This window comes from Homo sapiens, chromosome 7 (assembly GCF_000001405.40).
Source record: "Homo sapiens chromosome 7, GRCh38.p14 Primary Assembly".
Lineage (NCBI taxonomy): Eukaryota > Metazoa > Chordata > Mammalia > Primates > Hominidae > Homo > Homo sapiens.
The window spans coordinates 45586493-45605696 of record NC_000007.14 but is presented as its reverse complement, the minus strand read 5'-3'; the positions used below and the strand labels follow the sequence as shown (position 1 = coordinate 45605696).

At 49.2% G+C, this 19204-nt stretch overlaps 1 protein-coding gene across 4 annotated transcripts in view, besides 1 other annotated feature; it reads right to left on the bottom strand.

The window, feature by feature from the left end:
* The window catches only part of ADCY1 (adenylate cyclase 1), a 148977-nt gene that overhangs the window by 117420 nt on the left and 12353 nt on the right, over nt 1-19204 (bottom strand). For all 4 annotated transcript variants that reach the window (NM_001281768.2, NM_021116.4, XM_005249584.4 and 1 more), the window contains one exon: nt 12789-12938. In NM_001281768.2, the coding sequence (NP_001268697.1) occupies nt 12789-12902 (114 nt within the window). In that variant the 5' untranslated portion in view covers nt 12903-12938. The remainder of the gene's footprint in view (nt 1-12788; nt 12939-19204) is intronic.
* Nucleotides 5448-5949: an enhancer, noted in NCBI's record as "H3K27ac hESC enhancer chr7:45639347-45639848 (GRCh37/hg19 assembly coordinates)". NCBI's record gives its function as "activates a minimal SCP1, AML or CMV promoter by ChIP-STARR-seq in primed H9 embryonic stem cells {active_cell/tissue: H9 hESC(primed)}" and the evidence as "EXISTENCE:reporter gene assay evidence [ECO:0000049][PMID:30033119]".

Sequence of the window (19204 nt, the reverse complement as noted above, 5' to 3'; positions counted from 1 at the left end):
AGCAATTCAGTGATATGCAACAAGAAGTATATACCCCAAACACATGGGGTTTAATCCAGGGATGTAATGCTAATTCAAAATTGAAACATCAATCAGTGCAACACACCATGTCAACAGAATAAAAAAAAAAATCACATAGCAATTGATACCAAAAAAGAATTTGACAAAATTCAACATCTATTTATGATGAAAACTTCCAGAAAAATGAAAATAGAAAAAAAATTTCCTCCTCATTATAAGGAATATTCAGAAAAAGCCTACACCTAACAAACATTGAATGCTTTCACTGGGAACAAGGCAAGGATGTTGGCTCCCATTACTCATATTCATCATCTCATGGGAAGGTCTTATTAGTGCAGTAAGTTCAGAAAAGGAAAGAAAAGGCATACAGATTGGAAAGAAAGAAATAAAAGTAATATGATGGTCTACATGGGAAATACAATGGATGTTACAAAAGCAGAAACAAAAGAAAATTGTACCAAAAAGACTCCTAGAACAAATAATTAAGTTCAGAAGGTCACAGGATACAAGATCAATATACAAAAGTCAATTACATTTCTATATACTGGCAATAAACACATGGACACTGATATTTAAGATACAATACCATTTACAGTTGCTCAAAAATGAAATACTGAGGTGTAAATCTAACAAAACATGTATAGGATTTGTATGTTAAAAACCATAAAAGACTGATTAAAGAGATCAGAGAAGATCTAAATAAATGGAGAGACATACCATGTTCATGGATTGGAAGACTCAACTTAGTAAAGATGTCAACCCTCTCCAAATTGATATACAGTTTTAATATAAATCCTATCAAAATCCCAGCAAATTCTTTAGTACCTATAGACAAAATTATTCTAACACTTAAATATAAAGGAAAAGGAATAATACTACTTAACATAATTTTGAAAAAGAACAACAAGGTAAAAGAAATCACTTTACCTGATTTCAAGGCTTGTTATAAAACAACAATAATCCAGACAGTGTGACGTGGGTTGCCAGATAAACACATAAGACAATAAAACAGAATCTAGAATCCACAAATAGATCACACAAATATGCGCAACAAATTTTTGACAAAGGTTCAAAAGTAATTCAATGGAGGAAGGGTAGTCTTTTCAACAAATGCTACAGCAACTTGACATTCATAGACAAAAAAATGAATCTTAACCTAAACCTCATACCTTATGCAAAAATTAAATTAAAATACGTTATAGATTTAAATGTAAAAGATAAAACTTTCAGAAAAACACATAAGAACTAGGGCTAGGCAAAAAGTCTTTAGACTTGACACCAAAAGTACAAAAGGAAAAACTGGCGAATTAAACCTCATCAATATTAAAAATATTTGCTCTCAAAAAGACTCTGCTAAAAGAATGAAATGATCAACTATAGGTTTTGAGAAAATATTCACAAACAAAATATCCCAAAAAGTACTGTTATCTAGAACATATAAAGAACTCTCAAAGCCCAGCAGTTTAAAAAATCCAGTTAGAAAGTAGGCAAAAGACATGGATATGTTGCTGGGTACATAAATGGTACAACCATTCTGGGAAAGTTTCACTATTTCTCAGTAACCTAAATAGGCAACTTCCATATGACCCAGCAACTGTACTTTTAGGTATTTGAGCCAGAAAAATTAGTACCTATGTTCACACAAAAACCTGTGCATGAATGTTCATAGCAGCTTTATTCCTAATAGGCCAAAACTGGAAACTACCAAGACATTCTTCAATGGGCCAACAATTAAACAAACTGTGATACAGCCACACCATAGAATGCCACTTAGTAATAAAAAGAAACAAATATTGATATATTCAACAATATGGATGAACCTCCAAATAATTATGCTGAGTGAAAAAAAAGCCAATCCCAAATGTCTACAGTATTTTATTATTCCATTTATATAAATTTTTTGAAATCACAAATTTAAAGAAATGGGTAACAGGTTAGTGATTCCCAGGTCTTAAGAATGAAGGTGTTGTGGAGGGAAGTGGATGTGGCTATTTAAAGGGAACATGAGGGATCCTCAGGGTGACGGATGTTCCATATCTTGGCTGTCCCAATGTCAATATCCTAGTTGTGATATTGTACCACAGTTCTGCAGATGTTGCCACTGGGGAAGCTGGGTAAAGGGCACATGGGATCTCTCTGTGTTATTTCTTATAACTAAATGTGAATCTACAAGTAGTTCAAAATAAAAACAGTTTAATTTAAACAAAAAAAAAGATTCTGAATATGGAGAAACTAGAGGCTTTGCATACTCCTGGTAGGGATGGAAAATGGTGCAGCCACTTTGGAAAACAGTCTAGCAGCTCCTTAAAATGCTAACCATAGAGTTACCACAAGACCTAGCAATTCTACTCCTAGGTATTTATCCAAAAGAAATGAAAATGTGTTCACACAAAAACTTGTGCATGATTTTTTATAGTAGCATTACTTATTATAGCCAGAGTGGAAACAACCCAAATATGTATCAGCCGTGAACAGATAAACAAAATGTGATCCATCCATACAGTGGAATATTATTTGTCCATAAAAAAGAATGAAATACTAAAACATGCTATGATCTGGATGCACCTCAAAAACATTATGCTAAGTGGAAAGAGCCAGTCACAAAAGATCACCTATTATATGATTCCATTTGTATGAAATGTCCAGAACAGGTAAATCTATGGAGACAGAAAGTAAATTAGTGGGTGCCTATGTCTTGCTGGAGGGCAGGTGTGGGTATACATGGAGAGTGACTGCTAATGGATATGAGGTGTCTTTGGGGGATAATAAAAATATCCTAAATTTAGATTATTGTATACTAATTTTCTACAATAAGATCATTTGACATATGTATTAAATAAGATTAATGTGTAATAAGACTAAGATTCTTGCATAATTCTAAATAATAATAACTCTATAGGAAAAAGCATTTGAGTGAACTTTATTCAGTTGGACAAAGTTTATTTAATTGAACTTTATGGTACATAAACTCAATAAAGCCATTTAAAAATGAAAAATAAATCACAACGGTAGTTGTTTGAGAAGGTGCTGTCCATTGGCCAGCCCCATTTAAAAATCCATACTGCATCACTTAAATGGAAGTCTTCTTTCTCTTGATAAATTTCTTCACATGATGAGAACTCAAAATTGTTCCATTTACCTTGTTAGGGTAACAAATTGAGTGTGTGCTTTAAATAGCTGCATATTATTTTTGGAATTCTGATTTAATAATGGCATCTGAGGAACAGCCAGGGCTCTGGGAGGGGCCAGCTCCATAGTATGGAAGAGGGAGCTGAACTCAGGGATACAGGGCTTCCTGGACAGGCTGCAGGCAGCGGAGGAGGAAGCTGAGGGTGACCTCCTATGCCTCTCACCCTGTGCTCTCCAGCTGCGACAGGCACAGACTTCAGGCTAGACCCTTGTGGGGGACCATGAACACCCTGAAGCCCCCAAGTGGTCTTCACCACCCAGTGGAGCTGCACTTCCAGCCCATATCCCCTTCCTCTCCAAGCAGAAGGAAGGCAGAGCTCACGCTTACCAAAAGTAATACCTGTGACCACCTCCACCTCAATTTGCTGCCTGAATGCCTCCTCCAGTTCCCACCTCCCTGCCTCTACCTGGCAAACCCCTACACATCCCTCAAAGCCCTGATCACTCTTGTTCTTCCCCATAGTACGTCCCTATTCGGTTCAGTCAAGGCCACCTCCTGAAGCCCTGGCACTGGTCACTTCTGAGAGCATCTCTACAGCCAGAGCAGCCCTGGCGTCCTCTGCCCTGCCCCAAGCCTGGTTAGTGTTCTCAGCCATGGTGTCCTCCATCCACACTGCTGGAGGGTTTCAGGCCCCTTCCCTTCTCCTGGCACCATCTCCAGGCTGGACATGTCTGGAAGGTGAGGGCCATCTCCACTTGTCCTCACCCCTACCTCTCATCCCGAGTTCACTAGCAAGGTCACAAAAGCATGTGTATGAGATGCACACACAAAGAGGCCACCGCTGGGAGCACTGGGCCAAAGAAGCTACAGGATCAATTCCCCAATCACACTCAATTGCATTCATTCACTACACACCTATTAATGAGGACTCATGACTGCACCTCTACCAGCCATTGCTCCACAAGGTAAAATCACCATCGAGACAAACCAGAAGGAGGACTGGAAAAAAAAACAAACAATAATGGCCTCTAAAGTTGTGGCAGTACTGCGAAAAGGAGTCTCCTTCCAGGGTGGACAGCAGGCCCTGATCAGAGGAGCAGGCTAAGGGTGCAGTGCGCTCAGGTATGGATACCACCGCCCCTCATCACCCACAACCAGCCACACTCAGGGCTGGTGGATCTGAGGCCTGGAGCCAGTTAGGGAGCTGCCCAGCCACAGTCCATCAGAGCCAGCTGAGAACCTGGCAGGATCCCCTCTCCTGCCTCCTGCCACATGCAGTTCAAGTAAGAGCAGGGGGGGAAGGGAGGAAACCCAGCAGGAAGGGACCGTCCCCCCAGCCCAGGCCTGCTTCTCCACCAGCTGCACAGGGGCGGCCATATGTACTTCTATTTGCACTCAGCCATCCAGGGAGCCCAGAGCCAGGCACTCACCAGTCCAGGCACACTCATCCAGGACTCACACGCAGCATCTCCTTATTTTTAAATCATACACTCGACTTTTATTTGAAATAAAATAAGATGTTGTTTAGTGGCTGCTATGGACTAAATTGTGACCCTCCCCTCCATATTCATAGATTGAAGCCCTAAAACCCAATGTGGTGACTATATTTGAAGATAGGGCCTTTAGGGAGGTATTAAATTAAAATGAGGTAATTGAGTGGGCCCTAATCCAATGTGGCTGCATTCCTCTTCTCCTCCTAAGAGGAAATCAGGAGACACAGAGAGACACCAAGGGTGTGCGCACAGAGGGAAGACCATGTGAGGACACAGGGAGAAGATGGCCATCGGTAAGTCAAGGAGAGAGGCCTCAGATGGAACCAGCCCTGACAACACCTTGATCTTGGACTCTGCAGCCTCCAGAACTGTGAGGAAATACATTTCTCTTGTTGCAGCCACCCAGTCTCTGTTACACAGCCTAAGCTGACCACACCAGCCCCGGGCTGCCTCCCTCCAGACTTCTGCCCATGAGACAGACAACTTCTATTTTGTTTAAGCCACCATTTTCCAGGTCAGTTACTAGCAGCCAAACCAGATTCTAACTGACGTGCTGTCCCAACGGGCCACTTTACTCCAGACAGGCTCTCTCAGCTCTGTCTTCCTCAGCGAGTGGGGTCAGAGCCTGCCTTCCCATGGCTGCTCTCCCTGACTTGTGGCTCTGCTCCTCGGGCTCTTCCAGGAAAGGCCAGTGGGAAACTGCAAAGCTCCCTGCAGCCTGCAGCTGTGTGTGCTGAGTCCCTCACCCTGTCAGAGGTCCCCTCCATGGGTCACTTCATGTCACTATACTAGACATAGCTGGGCCCAGTTCCCTAATCATCTGAGAGCCAGGCTGCAGATGCTGGACTCCTTGCAGCGGATCTGCCCTCTCCCTCATAGACCACCAGATGCCCACAGCACAGCAGATCGCATGTCCTCACCAGCACAGAGGTGGGCCCTGGTGGGCTCAGGGACCTTTCCTCTCCCGGCCACACCTGGGCTCTATATCTTGGCATGTGGCTTCTGAGCCTGGGCTGTTCCATCAGGGAGAACCAAGAAGACCAGTGTGTCCAGGAGCCACATGTTGGCCACCACCTCCATCTGCCACACAGACTTCAAACAAAGTAGGAAAAAGACAGATGTGGCAAGGCCGCTCAAGGCGGCTCACACCTTTAATCTTGGCACTTTGGGAGGCTGAGATGGGCAGATCACAGGAGGTCAGGAGTTTGAGACCAGCCTGACCAACATGGTGAAACCCCGTTTCTACTAAAAATACAAAATTAGCTGGACGTGGTGGCACATGCCCGTAATTCCAGCTACTCGGGAGGCTGAGGTAGGAGAACTGCTTGAACCCGGGAGGCGGAGGTTGCAGTGAGTTGAGATAGCGCCACTGTACTCAAGCTGGGGTGACAGAATGAGACTCTGCCTCAAAAAAAAAAAACAGATATGGCAAACAACTGGGTACCCACAAACCTCCTCACAGCCCCCGAGGACATGCCGCAGAGCCTCCCACAGACCAAGGCGACAACCAGCTCCGGCATCTTCCTCAGCAATATTGCAGCACTGGCCACAGAATGACAGGGAGGAGACTCTGGGATTCCCGGAGCTGATACAGAGCAAACTGTGACGCACAAGCCACGAAAACCAAGCAGAAGGCGGTGACTGAGGGGCCCAATGTAGTGCTCCTGGAGAGCTAAGGAGACTGAAGAACCCAGTGGGCTGTGCCAGCCACAGGGGAACAAGACGCCTCAGCATGGAGCCAGATGTGTGACATCCACGCAGGAGGGGGATGCCCCCGACACCACTTTTGACGGTCCTCAGAAGAGATGCTGGCATTCAAGGCAGGAAGGAGGCTGGGCAGGGGCTGCTCCAGGAGGCCATATGACCAACAAGTTGGGAGCTGGGAGCATTCTAGAGCCTCTGATGCTGACCACAAACACCCTGGACCTCAGTTCCACTTGCACAGGTGTCCTGGCAATGGCAGGGGGCTGACAGCACACAGGAGTCATGTCACCCCGACCAGGCAGCATGCCCTGCCCCTCGCTCCTAGAACCTGGTGCATGAAACAGCAGCAGGGCAGGGACCAAGCATCCACCTGACGCCCACCCAATCCACTTCGGCACCAAGAAGCCAAACCACTAATGAAAACAAGACTGAGAAAGAGGCTTTTCCTGCCGTCCACGTGACAGGCCTTTGTGAGATGTGGGAATCCGAGCTCCGTCCTCCATAATCACCAGCCAGCTCGACCTAGGCTCAGAGAGCGAGCTTTCTATGCTGTGACTGATCAAATTGCAATCGCGTTTTCCTTGAAGTTCTGTCTAACTCATCTGTAAAACCATCTGGGCTTGCTGTTTACTTTTTGATGAGCTTGTAAATTACTGAATCAATCTTTTTAATAATTATAGGATTTTTCAGGCTTTCTTTTTCTTTGCGGATCATCTTTGGTAACTCACACTTTTTCTGGAAATTTGGCCATTTTGTCTCTCTTCAAATATACTGGCATAAAATTATTCTCAGCATTTCCCTATTATCTATTTTTAATCCCTGCTTTATCTGCAGCCTTTCTCATCCCTCATGCTCCTTATTTGTGTCTGCTCTTTTTCTTCTTGATCAGTCTCTTTAATGCTTTTCTATTTCAAAGAACCAACTTTTGACATTTTTGTTCAGAAACAGAAAAAGCTCTGTTAAAAGAACCTTCACACCCCTTTGGAGCATTTTAGCTCAGTTATTTGTAAGCCTAAAACATCTGTGTGAGCATTTTTTAGCTGAGGAGATCTGTGGCCACGAAAGGAGGAAACAGCCATGTGGTTCCCTTGGAAGATCCCGGGCTCACCCTGGCTCTGCCACTGGTGACTCTATTATTCGCTCCGTTATCTTTCCTGGGTTATTTAAATTTTCAGAGCCCCAGTTCTCAGATTTATTAAGCAGAATAAAGTCCTTACATTCCTAACCATGATATAGAGGGCTGAAATTAATTTTAAAGAGATCTGACAACTCAGAAAGAACATCTTAGTACCTTGACCTTCTTCTCTGCCCAGACCCTGCAGGCAAGGACAGATGAAGGGCAGGGGCCCAGGGTGACCCTTTGTTCTGTTTCTTTGTTTTGCTGTGTTGAGAGGAGGGGTCATTTTAGCTCATTCAAATCCCCCCAAAGGAATCAGCCTCAGGCACACTGACAATTCAGGTAAACCTTTCCTAAGTACAGCAGAGAACTTTCCAGACAGACAGGAAGTAGTGCAATGAAACAGACAAGCCCCCATCCCCACCCCACCCTTCTCCAGAGCCTCTTGTTCTATGGGCTGCCCTGAGAAGGTGGACGGGAGGAGAGTGAGAGCTACTGTAATATTTCCCCTCATAAGAATGTTGGCAGAAGCCTCACCCCTTGAGACTGGCACCTGCCTCGGCAGGAGCAGACCAGACCCTTAAAGCCTCAAAGATTCTGCAGGGCACCCGCAGGGCTATTGACACTAAACAGTACAGGAGGGGAAGGAGAAAGCTCCTAGTGTCTGTATCTGTTGTCACCCTCTTCATGGGTTGCTGCAAAAGTTAGCAGTAAGTAGGCACAGAGCACCCAGGGATGCATCCCGGCTGGTAAAAGCCAACACTGGCATCATAAGCCAGGAAATTGAGAGGTGCTCCCCAGGGCTTAAGATGAAGCACACCCTACTACTGGTGTCAAAACATAACTTATCAAACGGGGCAAGAACGATCTGGCATTGGGGAACAGAAGCATCCAATGCGTAAACAGAGTGGAGAAGAGCGTGAAAGCCGGTGGCCTCCACCCCTGGCACTGCCAGGAGGCTCGAAGCAAGGGCACTGCTGCTGCAGCCATCTCCATCTGTTCCATCAGTTCCCATCCCAGAACAAAACTGGTTCAGCTGGGACAGGATGAGGAGTTTTAATATTGGGAGTTTGCATTTCAGAACAGCAGTACCCTGCTGTGCTCTCCTGCAAACCCAGGCATTCAGTGGGGGCCATAAAGTGCAGACCTGTCCACACTGGGAGGTGTTTTCTGAGCCTCCTGAGCCAAACTCCTATTTTGTGAACTGAGCACAATGCTCTCCCTACTCACAAAGCCACTGACCACAGTGCCTCTGAGTTATGCATTCATCCCCCAGGAAGAAACAAAAAGAAAACCACCGCCAAACTCCCCAGTGTGTCTGCTCCCCTGCCTCCACGCACTTACCTGTGCACTGACCCTCAAAACGTGTTCATGATGTCTCTTTCCTGCTAGGCTCAGGAGCTCCCCTCTGTGAGCACAGAACCACAGGAGCCAGCCCTGCCCCACTCTCTACCGGTCAAGCCATCTCCTTCCAGCTGAGGTCACAGGACATGAAATGATTTCCCTCAAACACCGTGCATGGGAGCGTAAGGCTCGGAGTCTGCCCACAGGCCTCCCCTCAACTTGACCTCACTCAGCCCCCATCTTCTGGTCCCTCTGGACGTGCCCGGCATTCCACCGCCTCCTACCAGTGATGCCCACATCGGCTCCCAGGACCAGGGTGCATTGACCCAGAATCCCTCTCAGGACTGGGTTGTGTCCCCTCTAGATCCCATCCCGAAACCAAGGTGTGTCCCCCAGATCCCCTCTTAGGACCAGGGTACATCCATCCACCCAGAAGCCCTCCCAGACTGGGGTGTGTCCACACCCAGATCCTCTCCCAGGACCAGGTGTGTCTCCCTGGATCCCCCCACAGAATCAGGTCACATCCCCCCATATCCCCTCTCAGAACCTCAGTGCATCCCCCAATCCACTCCCATCACCCGTTGTGTTGCCTGGACAGTTCAAGTGGCTGGAGAAGGCTCTGGGAACAGGTGCTGAATGGAAATGTGTCATGAATGAAATTAAAACATGAAAGGCAGATGCTCACGACTAGCCACATGGTAAGGCTCCCTCACCTGTCATTCAGGAGACTGGCGTTTCATGCTGACACACATGAGGCCTGGGCAGGGCTGCCATGGCCACCTCTAGGCTCTCTGGATGGCCAGGCAGTCTCCAGGCAGATGCTGAGGGGCAAAGTGCCTGTGTAGCTGAGAGACCCAAGAGCTGGCAGGGCCCTACTGGGCCCCAAGTGCTCCCCTCTGCCATCCCAAAGAGACAAGGCTCCCTGCACTGACATCAGACAGCAGGTAGCCAGGAGGAACCTGGGTGCTGATTACCAGCCCATCTAGGCAGACAGTTATTGTGAGATACAACCCTGTAGGCTCAAAGGGAATCGACAGAAAAAATACAGCAAAAGTCAGGACAGCTGAGGTCTGAGGATATACTTGGTAAAGTCAGGGAAGGCACGTCCTCAATCAGCGCTCATGTGTCAAAACATCAGCTCAGCTATGAAGCAACAGAGGAAATCATGAAAGAAAATGATCCTTCCATTTGAAAATATAAGAGATTGAATTTTACACAAGGAAAAGCAAAGCTGGAGGAACAGACCTGGGGAAACGTGGGGATGAGGCATCAGTGTCTCTGTTATACAGTGAGAAGTTCACCCGACTGCCAGGAAAGTCAGAATGTAACGGGACGGAGGGTTGAAGCGTACTAATCACAAAGAAATACAGAAGGTGAACAAGCATGAAGGAGTCGCCGTCAGCCTTAGTAAACGGAAAGGGGCAGGGGAAACAGGAGGTGACAAGTCCTCACAGAGAGAGAGGGAGGCAGGGAGGGAGAAAGTTGGAAACCAATAGGCAGAAGGAGAGGGAGAACGGGAGAAAGACAGGGACTGCAGAGCAGCTCATCAGAACCCCAACCCCCCTGGGCCCCACCCTAGGGGCTTTCCCACCTACAGGGCTGGGTGAGGCCTGGTAATCTGCATTCCTAACAGGCTCCCCACTGCTGCTGATGCAGTGGTTGGCCTGGGCTGCTATAGAGAGCAGAGTATAAGCAGACATCATTTATAAAGATGTAAAAGAGCACAAGTTTGGGAAAATACCTCAGAAACTTGGGAAAGAAATGACATATTTACACTGCTAAAAATGTTACTCAGTGAATACTTCATGTGCGTGAAGAAAAAACTCTTTTAGAACGTGGTATCTAAATGTCAGACACTGAGAACACTGCAGAACATGCATTAAGGGGAAGAATAAGCAGATGTTTTAAATCACACTTATCACACCAGTAGCTATGTCTGTGCAAAATGATAAGCAAAAAGACAGAAAATAAAATTATATATACACCACAATGACAATCACGTGGGGAAAAATAAACATAAAGACAAAATCTGAACACTAAATAGCATTTGGCTGGGTTAACTGGATTGGGTGACATTTTGAAAATGTCCTCCTTAAGAACATCCACTCTGCAGTTAGAACTTGGACACATTTCTGAGCCTCCCTGAGTGTGGACTGCCTCCTCCATAGGGCTGAGGAAAAAATTCCTTGCTTACAGAGCTGCTATAAAACCCAGTGAAATGCTGCACATCAAGCAGCAAAGGCTAGACTAGACAATACTGGGAGGAAAGAGAGTCCTTAGGAAAGGCAGCAAGTGTCAGAAAATAAATGAAAAAAGACCAACACAGAAGTAGGAAAGGAAGGTATGGAAAAGGAAATGGGAGGGAGACAAAAGAGGAAAAGAAAAGGAAATGCACACAAGCAGGGCCCACAAAAAGAGCCTTTGCCTTCTCCACTACAGAGGATGTAGTTAAGGGGAGAACAGGGCTTCCAAAGATTCATTTCTGGGATCTTATGGTGGTAACAAAATAAGGCTATATGCCTCCCAGAAAGCACAAAGGAGATATCTCTCCTTGTGTGACTGACTCTGGTCTAAGAGAAAATGCTCAGGGTTCAGCCTTGAAAGATGCTCAATTTATACACACACCGACACATTCATGCACACACATAGACAACACATCAACACATGCGCATACACACATATACACATATCCCTGCATATCACAGACATACACACACAGACATACAGGCATGCCCACGCAAACACATCTACCTGATTACAAAGCCACACACACATGCAACCACACAGACGTACAGATAGGCACATACATGGACACATACACACGAGCACAGGCATTCACAGACACACATGCACACATGTACAGAGGCAAAGGCAAATATGCACATATCCACACATGCATCTCCACAGGGATGCACATGTACATATACACAGACACATACCACTGCCCACATAACATCCACATGGACACGCCCTCCTACGTGTTCACATAGACGGCAATGCACACACCACCTAAACATACATATGTGATCTATTTCCTACTTTTATTGTATATCCTACTTTTATTGTAACTATTAGGGATCATAATGTCGACACATGAAATGTGTTTGTGAGTTTTTACATTTATATTTGGTATAATACCTTATATTCACATCGTTGAGAAAGAGATCCTATATGTCAGCTACAGGCCTGAGACATGAGCAGTTTGGTGTCACAGAGGCCTGTAAGCCCCAAGGCTAGGGGAAGAATCTAGATCCTTCCAGTGAAGGCACCTGGAATGTGCCAGGCTTATCCCAAGGGCTCCCAGATGGTCCTTCCTAAGCCCACATGCTGGGCACAGGCCCCGCGCAGCAGACAGAGAGCACAGAAGATGGGTCATAGAGGGCGGTGGGAACCTAGGCATGGCTCCTTCCAAGCCACTGCTCTTTCCCTCGCGGCTGTTTCATCCTGAAAATGGGGTGATGCCGGCCACTGGAGGAACCCCAAGGGCTGTGGGTGCTGTATCATGACCACTGTGACCCCTCTACAACTCCCAGCAAAAGGGCATCTCTGCCTTCCAGAAGTGCCAGCGTGCTCTGGGGTCGGCCACACTGAGCCAAGGGCAGAGCTGGTGGAAGCCTCAGGCCAGTGGATCAGGGCCACCTGCACGGTCACATTCATCCGAGGCCCAGCCAGGACCTGCCTCGTCCTCCCTGGGCAGCTGACCTATTCCAGCTGCAACCGGAAGTCCGTGCGCCCAAATGCTGTCCCCAAAGCAGCCCCATCCCAACACTATCCCATGGGCAGCAAACTCAGCCTGCCTGTCCATTTGCTAACTATAAAACCTCAGGGCATCTCCTCCACAGCCTCAAATACCAACATGTACCAATGGGAATTGTGGCCCATGTCACCACGGGGTAAACTGAGGCTCAGGAAGCCAGCTTCTTCCACCTCCCCAGCCCCACAGCCAACCCCTCTAGGCTGACTGGCCCAAGCCACTGACCTGCTTCTCGTTCTCATCCTCCAGCCTCAGTCGGTCCTCAATGCAGCTCCGGGCCTGCAGGAACGCCTTCCTCTGTGAACGCTCAGTCAGAATCCGCACAAAGACCCCATACATGTTCACACCGACGAAGAGCAAGGCATTGGCACCGAGCTGCAGGGAGAGAAGGAGGCAACATGTGGAGCCTGACATCCCACACACACAAAGAGGGCCTAGGCCGCCCGGAGAGCATAGCAAGAGCTCTCCAAAAGCCACGCCGCCCGGGCCAAACCCACAGCGCAGGGCCAGGGACACAGGGAGTCAGCCGGGCAGGAGCTCGTCCTCACCCTGTCCGGGCGGCTGTGAGACAGCATGTCAGGGGATGAGGAGTAACCAGGCCTAGTGTCAAGGCCAAACTGTGTCCCCCAAAATGCATAAAGCCCTAACCCCCAGGACCTCGGGATGTGACTAATTGAAAACAGGGTCTTTACAGAGGCAATTAAGTTAAAATGAGGCCATCGGGGTGGGCACTAATCCAATCTGCCTGGTGTCCTTATAAGAAGGGAGATGAGGACACAGACACAGCCAGCGGGAAGACTCTGTGAGGGCACAGAGGGAAGGCGGCTGTCTGTAGCCCAGGAACGAGGTCTCAGGAGAGCCCAGCCCTGCCCACAGCTTGATATTGGACTTCTGGCCTCCAGACTGTGAGATTCTCCATTTCTGTTGTTTAAGGTGCCCAGTCTGTGGTGCTTTGTTATAGCAGCTTCAGAAAACCAAGACCCCTGGAGAATACATATGTGTAGAGTGGCTGTTCCCACAAAGCCTGCACAAACTCCTCTGGAAAGATTCAGGAAAGGTGAGTTCACAAAAAAAAAAAAACAAAAAACGAAAACAGCCCAGATGTTGATTTGGGGACACAGTGAGCACCAGCACAAGATGGGGAAACGCAGTGTCCAGAGCCCGGTCTCTGCACTCTCCCTTAGTCCTGTCCCCACTTCAGCTTCAACAGATGAGACACAAAGAAGGGGCCAGCCTGAGAAGGAGCCAGCACTAGCAGTGCACCCACACTCCAGGCTCAGAACCAGGCTCAGACCCAGGCATCAGGCACCTGGGGCCAGCCTGACCCAGGGTTCCCCTCCACAATCACTTCCCACTCCCCACTGCCTGCTGCCGGTCTCCTCATCTGATCTGTCTCTACGTCTTGCAGACCACTGGGTCTGGACACAGGCAACTCTGACGAGCCATGCAGGGCCATGGCATGTCCTGCCAGAGGCCCTGAAGAGGGGCTGCAGTTTGTAAGTATTGTATGAAACGGGTGTCCCTTGGTCACTCGCAAAATTGGAGAATTTCTATGTCTGATTAAGCCCAGGCATTTCTACCTGTCTCCCAGGGAGCAGAAACCTGCAGGCTCCGGCTGTCACTGCTCCACACAGATTAACCACAAACACCCCCACATGTGAATGTGTGCTGCACACTATGAAACAGAACTAAAATCAAAAACAAACTCACACAGTAGTGTGGGGAGCAGCTGCCACCTGACGGGGACCAAGCGAGTCCAGGAGGTAGACCCATGAGACGGGACAGATGGGTGTCACCCTGATCGGGCCAAGCTACAGGCAGCAGGATGGGGCCCCCAGACGGCTCTAGGAGGGAGACCTGGCAGCTCCTGGCCACCTACTGGATGCTGGGGCTGAGGAGCAGGTAGGAGAGCTGAGACTGACCAGGGGCAGGGGCCACAGGGAGGGGAGAGGACAGATTTGGAGCACCTTCAAACCTGAGGTGTATGACATAGCCTCAAAGGCACATCCATCAGGAGGCTGGAAAACAAACCTAGGACCAACGGTCACATGCAATCTGGAAACAACATCAGAGCCACTCTCAAAGAGGTGACAGGGAGGGAGGACAAGGAACACGAATCTGCAGGGCTCCAGCTGACAGCCATCCTCTGCCTGACACCTCCATGGGGGACCTGACCCTCGCCCAGCACAGCTCCCCACACACATCAGACACACCCCCACCTGACCCTGTGGGGCTGACGACGTTAAACACCACACACTGGCAAAGGCACAGGCAGGAGGTTGCCCCTGCTGGACAGCACCACCCTGACCACACCCTCTGCAGGCCAGACGGGATGGCTGTCACCTGTGAGGGGTCAGAGAAGGCAGCAAGACATCCAATAGGATGGTCTCTCCCAGACCCTGAGCATCAAGAAGGTGACCTTGAAATCTCCACTATGACCCTGAAGATCTCCATGGGACCTGAACACGGCCATTTAGCTTCCCTCTCGGTGCATTTGACAGAGCTGTCATCATGGTGTGGATACCACTCAGATCCGGCTTTTTCCACAAACAAAACGCAGAGCATGTTAGGGTGTGTTCAGCGCTCAGAATCACCAAACACCATGGATGTCTGGAAAGGGTCAGGGCCAGAGCAGGGAGCTGGAAGACCCAGGGGCCATCGGACACATGGGGCACTGGAGCTGCCAGAGCTAAGCCAGCAAGGCCTGCGGAGGAGCCTGCACAGGAGGCCACCACCCACTTTCTAAAGGAAGTGAATGGCAGGTGGACCCCAGCCCTTAAAACAAAAACGACAATTAGGAAGAACAAAACCTTCCTTGGAGATTTTCCACATGTTAGCTTCCTTTCTCCCCTGGTTTCCTCCTGGAACACAATGGGCTTAGATTACAGGTTTATGACAAGGAGTCCATGGGGGGGTGGGGACATAGCACAGCTGGCGGGTCAGTTGTCAAGATGACCGACCCTCCCCGTTTGCATCAGAGCTGTTCCGTGTGGGCTAGCAGCCCGTGGAGGCTGGGGGGATTGGCGGCCGGTCCCCCTCATCTCTGCACTATATGGAGGTGCCCCTGCAAGCCCTCCCAGGGCCCAAGGAACCCTTTCTCAGAGGGAACCAGCCACTCCTCTCTTTTCGTTAGCTTGCCTCCCCATTTCTGTTAACTACAATCTGTCCTCACGAGAATGGGAACCATCACTACCTGCCCTTGGGATATCTGAAGGGCACTGTCACCAGTGAAACCAACACTCCCACTGGAAGCTTCAGACCCCCGTGGCCCTGGAAAGGAAAAGCGCCATCAAACAACCCACTCCTCTAGGAGCTGGGCACTGCCTCCCTTCAAAAAAAAAACCCACGGTGGAGGGTGGTTGAGAAGAGACTGCTGCAGAAAGGACACTTCAGTAGGGCTGGGTGTCATCTGCCAAGTGCCCCACACCTGCCCATGAGCACAGGGCTCACCCGCCGAGACACCCACGCCCCCGCATTTTCCCAGATGAGCATCCTCAACCACCAAATGCATCCACTGTGTTGGAATTGAGAGTTCCAAACCTGTCCCCAAGGTCTGGAACTCTCGATTCTCTCCATGAAGCTCTCTGAACTCACGGCTAGAGGGGCATTTAGATCCAAAAGATGCATGTCACAGGGGCAAGGCAATTGTAATGTGGCTTAGCACATGTCACAATGACAAGAAAGGCAGGCTCGGGTCACCACGAGCTACTCAGAGATGAGGGCTGCAGGGGCCTGGGGGACAGGCGGCCTCCCCACCACAGCCCGCTGGCCACTCCTGGAGCAGGAGACCCAACCCCGGCCCGGCCCGGGCCATCTGCACACCACCACCACACTCCCTGACCACAAGGTGGCCCAGAGCCACATGCTGCCCACACCAGCCAGGCCCTGGGTGGCACCAGGCTGCTGGTCTCCCAGTATGGACACCCTCTCGGGCCCTCATCCCAGCAAGGGCTGTGCTGGGCTGCGAGCGAGGACAGGAGTCCAGGTGTCCTCACCAGGGTCAGACCCTGCCATAGCCCTGCCTTCTGCCTGCACCATCACTGTGGCTCAGTCTCTCCATCCACCAGATGGGCAGATTGGTGACAACTGTAGTACCTCCCAAATGAGCTTATCAAAGAGACCTAAGGAGAAACCCAACAAAGGACACTGCGTGGGACACAGGTTAGACTCTGAGGCATCAGGGTGAGCCTGGAGCACCATGCAGTGCCAGAAAGTAAGGAAAGTGTTACACACACACATACACACACACACACACACACACACATACACGCAATGATGGGGGTGTGTCAAAGGATACAGCAGCCAACTGAAAGAGCCCCCAATGGCCAAAGAGCCAGCACCTGGAAACACCCTGAAGAAATCTTCATGGGCCAGATTAACTCAGCCAGACAGCCGGGAAGAGAAGGGCTTCCCAGGGAGTCTGCTAGACTGAGCACCAGCATGCTCGGAAAAGGCAGCCAGGAGGAGCAGGACCTGTCCGCAGGCCCTGGGGCATCTCTACTTGACTGTGCACCACCTGAAAACATCACCAGGGCCAGCCCCTCACTATGGGAGGCAGGTTAGACTCTGAGGCACCAGGATGAACTCGTGTTTGACTTAATTCACAGATGGGTACATATGCAAACGTTTATAGAAATGTGTGTGCACATATATGTTCTAGCTCTGCCTAATGAGAGAAAACTAGAAGCAATGGCTCCCCAGGAGCAACGAGGACATGAGGAGGCCAGGTAATGGTCTTTAATAAAATTCTCCAATAAAAGGAACTGGGGCTCCCTGGAGAAATGACTGATTCTTGGGCTCAGGCAGAGAAAATATTTGCTAATCAAGCAGATGGGCCTGGAGCACCTTGCAGGGCCAGAAAGTAAAGCAAGTGTCACACACACACGCACACACACAAATGATGGGGAGGGGGTGTATCAAAGGACACAGGAGCCAACTGAAAGAGCTCCCAATGGCCAAAGTTGGAACAATTTGAGCAACACAAAGCAGTATTGAATTGTAACCCAAAGTATAAAATAAACATCAGTACTAATATAAATCAATGATTAAATAAAAAATAAATGAAGGATAACAGATGAATAGGCAAAAATTTGGATCATTCCAAATCATTTATAGCTACTCCGCCTTCAAGAAGGTAAACTCCCCACTCCTTCAGTATGGGCTCAGCACAGTAACTTCCTTTGGAAAAGCACAAAATGGAAAAGGAAAAGTAAAGAGAAAACCTTTACGGAGGAGAAACCTGCCAATACCACCTTAGCCAGCTGGTAACTGCCAGCACTGGCCATGATGAGTCCTGTTGACAGAAGTGCCCTGACACAATGCAGTGAGGGCATGTCCTCTGAGGCCTCCTGCTGAAAACCAACACCCCAGTCTAACCATGAGAAAATCATCAGACACTGGAGGGTCACTGGACTAGCATCCCTCATGCTAGACACCACTCGTGGTCACTAGACTAGCACCCTGGAGGAGCCCTGGGCCCCTCCCCCAACCCAAGACGTCCCATAGTCCTTGGAGAAAGTATCCCAATTTGACATCATCATCCCACATCCCCAGGTACCTGTCCTTCCTCCCCTCCAGAGACAGGTGCCACTGCCCAAGCCAAACCTGCAAGTCCTCTGACGTTCTCTCTCTGTCCTTCTCAAGCCTTCATCAGGCCCTGCCCCTGACAGCCCTATGCCACCAACTTCTCTCTAACCCCACCGCCTGACACAACCCACAATCAGGCTGTAGTCAAAGTCCCCGTGAGGCAGACCCTCCCATCATCCCAGATTCTGGATGGAGCGCCACCTCCCTGGCACACAAGAGACCCGCTGAGCCCTGGACTCACCTCTGACCTGTCTGCCATGCCATGCACATACATGGAAGCACACGCCCTGGCCATGCCACAGCTCTGGGCAGAGCATGCTCTCAGACCCACAACCCTCACTGCCACCTTGGCCCAGAGGGGTTTCCCTCCTTTTACAGAGCAGCCTCCTGATCCCTGGACTGGTCTGGGTGGTCCCTTCTCACCCCAGGATCACTCCTATTGGGTATGAAAACCTCTCTATTGAATTTGCTCCCATTTTCAACATGACATCACCCGGGCTGCCCCAGCACAGTCTCTCAGCCTGGGTGGCATTCAGACTATCCATGGGGACAGGAGAACCACTGCAGGACAGTCCTCCAAACCAGCCTCTCCTGAGCAGAGCAAGAGTGCAGGCACAGGTCGGGGGGCCTGCTGGAGGGAGTGCTTTCTCATATGAACCAACAGCACTTGGGCCACAGGCCAGCAAAGGAGCTGACTCCACACAACTGCTCCCTGCACAGCACTGGGCATGTTCTCATTGGTAAATTCCCAGACTGCGATCAGCCTGCCACCTCCCAGGTGTCTGGATGGTGGAGTGGTCCCTCTGTCCCCCTCCCTGACTGAGCCCCCAGTGGACACCACTCAGTCCCTCCATGGTGCTCACCAGCGGCTGAGTGCTGGTGTGACATCATTCTCTTTAAACCATGGCTGCTTCTTCAGTGTCTCACACAAGTGGGTTTTTAAATTAACGTAATTGCTTGTTAGCTTCTGGTGTTTGAATTAATAAAAGCGTTTTAGAATTAGCATCATTTGAAACAGGGCCGGCAGAATGCTGATAATTGTTGGAGCCAGTGAT